Raw genomic sequence first — 4,351 nt, 5'->3', positions numbered from 1 at the left:
AGATGGAGAGGCTGTGGGATGCCTTTAGCAACCTAGACCACTTGCATTGCAGCCGAGCTAGCAGCAGCTGGTGCCCCGCCAGGCCCCGCGTACCTTCCCAGGGTCTTGGATCCGCATCCCCGAGACCCTCGATTTGCATACGCCGCTCACAGCCCGGCCAGGCCCCGCCTCCGATCCCGCTCTTTGCACCTCACCAGGGCAAGGGGCAGGCTCGGGCTGGGGAGCCGGCGCGGGCACGGCGGCAGCCCGCCGAGGGGGACGCAGGGCACGTCGCCCCGCCCCGGCCCGCCCGCCAGCTGCGGCGGCGCGTCGGGAAGTGCTTGGGGCGGCGAGCATGGCGGCAGCGGCTGCAGGCCTGGGCGGCGGCGGCGCCGGCCCGGGACCCGAGGCCGGGGACTTCCTGGCCCGCTACCGGCTGGTATCGAACAAGCTGAAGAAGCGGTTCCTGCGGAAGCCGAACGTGGCGGAGGCCGGCGAGCAGTTCGGACAGCTGGGCCGGGAGCTGCGCGCCCAGGAGTGTCTGCCCTACGCGGCCTGGTGCCAGCTGGCGGTGGCGCGCTGCCAGCAGGCGCTCTTCCACGGGCCCGGGGAGGCGCTGGCCCTCACCGAGGCCGCCCGCCTCTTCCTGCGGCAGGAGCGCGACGCGCGCCAGCGCCTGGTCTGCCCCGCCGCCTACGGGGAGCCGCTGCAGGCCGCCGCCAGCGCCCTGGGCGCCGCGGTGCGTCTGCACCTCGAGCTGGGCCAGCCGGCCGCCGCCGCCGCCCTCTGCCTCGAGCTGGCCGCCGCCCTGCGCGACCTGGGCCAGCCGGCCGCCGCCGCCGGTCACTTCCAGCGCGCCGCCCAGCTCCAGCTGCCCCAGCTGCCCCTGGCCGCGCTGCAGGCGCTTGGCGAGGCCGCCTCCTGCCAGCTGCTGGCGCGCGACTACACCGGCGCCCTGGCGGTCTTCACGCGCATGCAGCGCCTGGCGCGGGAGCACGGCAGCCACCCGGTGCAGTCACTGCCGCCGCCCCCGCCGCCGGCACCCCAGCCCGGGCCCGGGGCGACGCCCGCCCTACCGGCCGCGCTGCTTCCTCCGAACTCCGGCTCGGCGGCGCCCTCTCCCGCCGCCCTGGGCGCCTTCTCGGACGTGCTGGTCCGCTGCGAGGTGTCCCGCGTGCTGCTGCTGCTCCTCCTGCAACCACCGCCCGCCAAGCTGCTGCCGGAGCACGCCCAGACCCTGGAGAAGTACTCCTGGGAGGCTTTTGACAGCCACGGGCAGGAGAGCAGCGGCCAGCTTCCCGAGGAGCTCTTTCTGCTGCTCCAGTCTTTGGTCATGGCTACCCACGAAAAGGACACGGAAGCCATCAAGTCGCTGCAGGTGGAGATGTGGCCACTGTTGACTGCTGAGCAGAACCACCTCCTTCACCTCGTTCTGCAAGAAACCATCTCCCCCTCAGGACAGGGAGTCTGATCCATCCCATTCACCCAGTGACTTCTTTTTGCCCAGGCCGGGACTTTTTGCATCAGTCACGTTAACCAGATGACTTTGCCTGTTACCAAACCTCATGCATCCACGTTTGCGTCTGGGGAGGAATAAAAAGACATCGTTCCCGCTTCTGCGTTTTGTTATTCCTACTGCCGCCATAGGAATTATTTCGTTGGCTGAACGTTACCAGCACCCCGAGAACACATTTTGATAGAATCAGAGTAGAGGACATGGCTGTCTTCTAAAAAGCCACGACATGAAAATGACAATCCCTTTCGTCTCCTTCCTCCGCTGCTTCCACCCAACGCAGCCTCCTGCCTCCGCCTTTGTTTCATAGTGAGGATTTTATTTTGCACGGCGCCCTCCCTCTAAATACCTACCCTAGATGATTTCATCCTGCCCCTCACTTCTTAACATATTCCTGTGTCTTTGTAATGGCCAAATTTCTCCTTCCACTCGTCCGCACGGTACGTCTTCATGGGAGTCATTTTATTCCTTACAGCTTCCTTGTAACCACAGCCCTAAATCCATGATAAAGCTACTCTTGTACTCCTCATGTGTGGTTTTGGTGTCCGTCGTCTATAAAATGTGACTCTCTTACCTACTTGTCAGGAGGCCAGCAGCAGAACCAGATAGCTGTTTGGGCTCCAGGATGTATTCGTTCCTTTGAAATTTGCGCTATGCCTCCTATGTGGGCAACGAACCTGCAGAGATCATCTATGATGTGCTCCGTACTCGGGTGACTGCAATGCAGATACATCCAGTGCAGCGGGTCTGGTGCCGATGCATCGATTTGCATTGGAATTCACGGTTCTGGTTCCATTCGCAGAGGTATATGCAGTCTGGATCACAACAGCTTTTATTTGTAATAGGGATTTTTTTTTTTTTTTTTTTTTCCCCCCCCGAGATGGAGTCTCACTCTGTCGCCCAGGCAGGAGCGCAGTGGCGTGATCTCGGCTCACTGCAACCTCCGCCTCCTGGGTTCAAGCGATTCTCCTACCTCAACCTCCAGGGTGCCTGGGATTACAGGCGTGCACCACCACGCTGGGCTAATTTTTGTATTTTTAATAGAGATGGGGTCTCACCATGTTGGCCAAGCTGGTCTCCAACTCCTGACCTCAAATGATCCACCCTCCTCGGCCTCCCAAAGTGCTGGGATTACAGGCATGAGCCACCACGCCTGGCCTGTAATAGGGATTTTGCTGCAACTTTTAGTTAAGTAGGTGAAATCAGAGTGCGTGGCCCTTTGGTGTTGCGCGATCACGTGACTGCAAGGCAGCCTCCGTGTTCCCCCAAAGCAGGATGGCGTTCCGTTTGAGAACACTTAAGTTTCCAAGGCTTTCTGCCTCAAATGGAGCATGCCCCCCAACTACGCTGTTTTCTTATTTATTGCGTCTTTTTAATCCTTTTGATGGTGACAACAAGAACTCTTCAGAATATAGCCTCTTTCTCAAACTTTCAACCCTGGGGAAATGCATCCTTTGGGCCGAAGTTGCACACAATCCTGATCTTCGGGGCTGAGATGTAAGGACACAGTTTGGAGTAGGTGTTTTTGTTTTGCGTCTTTTTGCAGGGGAGAGGTGTGGAGGGTTGTCACTGTGAGTTGAGTGCCTCCAAATGGGTGGGACTTGTAGGGTGTTCTTTTCTGCTTCTATTTCTATTTCGACAGTGTGGAAGTAATGGGAAGCACAGGAGAGGCCCATTCCACCATCATTCCTCTTTCTCTCACTTGGCTGCCAGGAAGGGTCCTACGGAGCCCTGAACGCCTAGCCCAAATTATTGTAAAAGCGGTTGAAGGGCTCATGCTCTTTTGCTCTTTGGCTCTTTCCTGGTATGCTCCTCTTAACCCGGGCTGCAGACCTGGCCGGCTGGCTTCTTGTCAGGTTCAGGAGTTACGGAGCATGACTGGTGACCAGTTTGGGATTTGGGCTTCAGGAGAAGCCTCCTTAGGCCTCTGGTCCAAACTCCTTGCGTCAGGGAGGTGAGGGGAAGGATAACCAGACGGTCAGGTAGTGGGTATCTGAGCATAATTCTAGGAAACACTAAAACTCCTCGTTTTCCATTTGCCGTGGGCTCATTCATGTATCTCCCTCAGAAGCTTAAGAGCAGTGATAACTGGGCCGAGGCCAGATTTCAGCAGTTTTGAGAATTCCCTCGTAATGTATCACATCAGTATCAAAAGTCAACACTGATTTCTAGCATGCCAAAAGCAAATACTTTCAGAGGACATGATTAGTTTGCTTTTTAACTTGAAAACAATTCCAAATTCACACTTAAAACAGTGTAAACCGTCGGAAATGGTGGCAGCGAAGCAGTGAACCCTTAAAGGCTGTTGGGGTTCCCCTTCTCCCCATTGTGAGGTACTCCCAAAAGGATAAATGTTGCTTATGAAAGAATATTTTATACGTGAATAGTACAAAGACAAAGACGTTTGAGAACCGCTACGCCGGAGGAAGGTGGTCAAGACTGAAATTAGCGTGTTAGGCAAGATCTGGTTCCTAGGTGCTGAGGATTCTGGTGCCAAGGATTAATGTTAACCGTGCAGGCATCTCTACCACCGTTAGAGGAGACCAGCAGCCCACAGACTCTTTCTGTCAAGGGCGGGATAGAAATGTGTTAGTCTTTACAGACCACAGGTGGTCTCTGTTGCACAGTCTTCTTTGTTTCTTTGTATGTTTGTCTTTGCAATCCTTTCAACGTGTAAAAACTATTCTTAACTCACAGTCCGTACAAAAGCAGGCTATGGGCCAAATTCTGGGGCTATAGTTTGCCCACCCCTGAATTAGAACCCAGGACATAGTAGTTGCTCAATAACTGTTTAATTTTTTTTTATTTCAATAACTTTTGGCTTACAAGTGCTTTTTGGTTAAATGGATGAATTATATA

General features: G+C 55.8%; 1 protein-coding gene and 1 non-coding gene across 2 annotated transcripts, besides 4 other annotated features; one reads left to right on the top strand and one right to left on the bottom strand.

Moving 5' to 3' along the window:
• Window positions 1-2,110: part of a meiotic recombination region, noted in NCBI's record as "meiotic double-strand break mapped by DNA meiotic recombinase 1 chromatin immunoprecipitation followed by single-stranded DNA enrichment and sequencing in the germ cells of some male individuals with PRDM9 A/A, PRDM9 A/B and PRDM9 A/C genotypes", that runs on past the window's edge. NCBI's record gives the evidence for it as "EXISTENCE:chromatin immunoprecipitation-seq evidence [ECO:0000229][PMID:25395542]".
• Window positions 1-4,287: part of a non allelic homologous recombination region, noted in NCBI's record as "int22h-3 recombination region, recombines with the int22h-1 and int22h-2 recombination regions", that runs on past the window's edge. NCBI's record gives the evidence for it as "EXISTENCE:polymerase chain reaction evidence [ECO:0000082][PMID:9694739]" and "EXISTENCE:restriction fragment detection evidence [ECO:0001124][PMID:8275087, PMID:8528212, PMID:7981669]".
• Window positions 230-242: a nucleotide motif, noted in NCBI's record as "nucleotide motif; similarity to the predicted 13-mer PRDM9 A binding motif (LD hotspot motif), CCNCCNTNNCCNC".
• On the top strand, window positions 315-2,021 carry F8A3 (coagulation factor VIII associated 3). The gene has a single exon (NM_001007524.2). The coding sequence runs from the start codon at window positions 335-337 to the stop codon at window positions 1,448-1,450; it is 1,116 nt and encodes a 371-aa protein (NP_001007525.1). The 5' UTR covers window positions 315-334; the 3' UTR covers window positions 1,451-2,021.
• MIR1184-3 (microRNA 1184-3) lies at window positions 1,320-1,418 on the bottom strand. The gene has a single exon (NR_036260.1). It is a non-coding gene; the product is annotated as a microRNA 1184-3 (primary transcript).
• Window positions 1,396-1,408: a nucleotide motif, noted in NCBI's record as "nucleotide motif; similarity to the predicted 13-mer PRDM9 A binding motif (LD hotspot motif), CCNCCNTNNCCNC".

Source organism: Homo sapiens, chromosome X (assembly GCF_000001405.40).
Source record: "Homo sapiens chromosome X, GRCh38.p14 Primary Assembly".
NCBI lineage: Eukaryota > Metazoa > Chordata > Mammalia > Primates > Hominidae > Homo > Homo sapiens.
The sequence above is the reverse complement of the archived record's forward strand: the minus strand, read 5'-3'. Positions and strand labels throughout refer to the sequence as shown.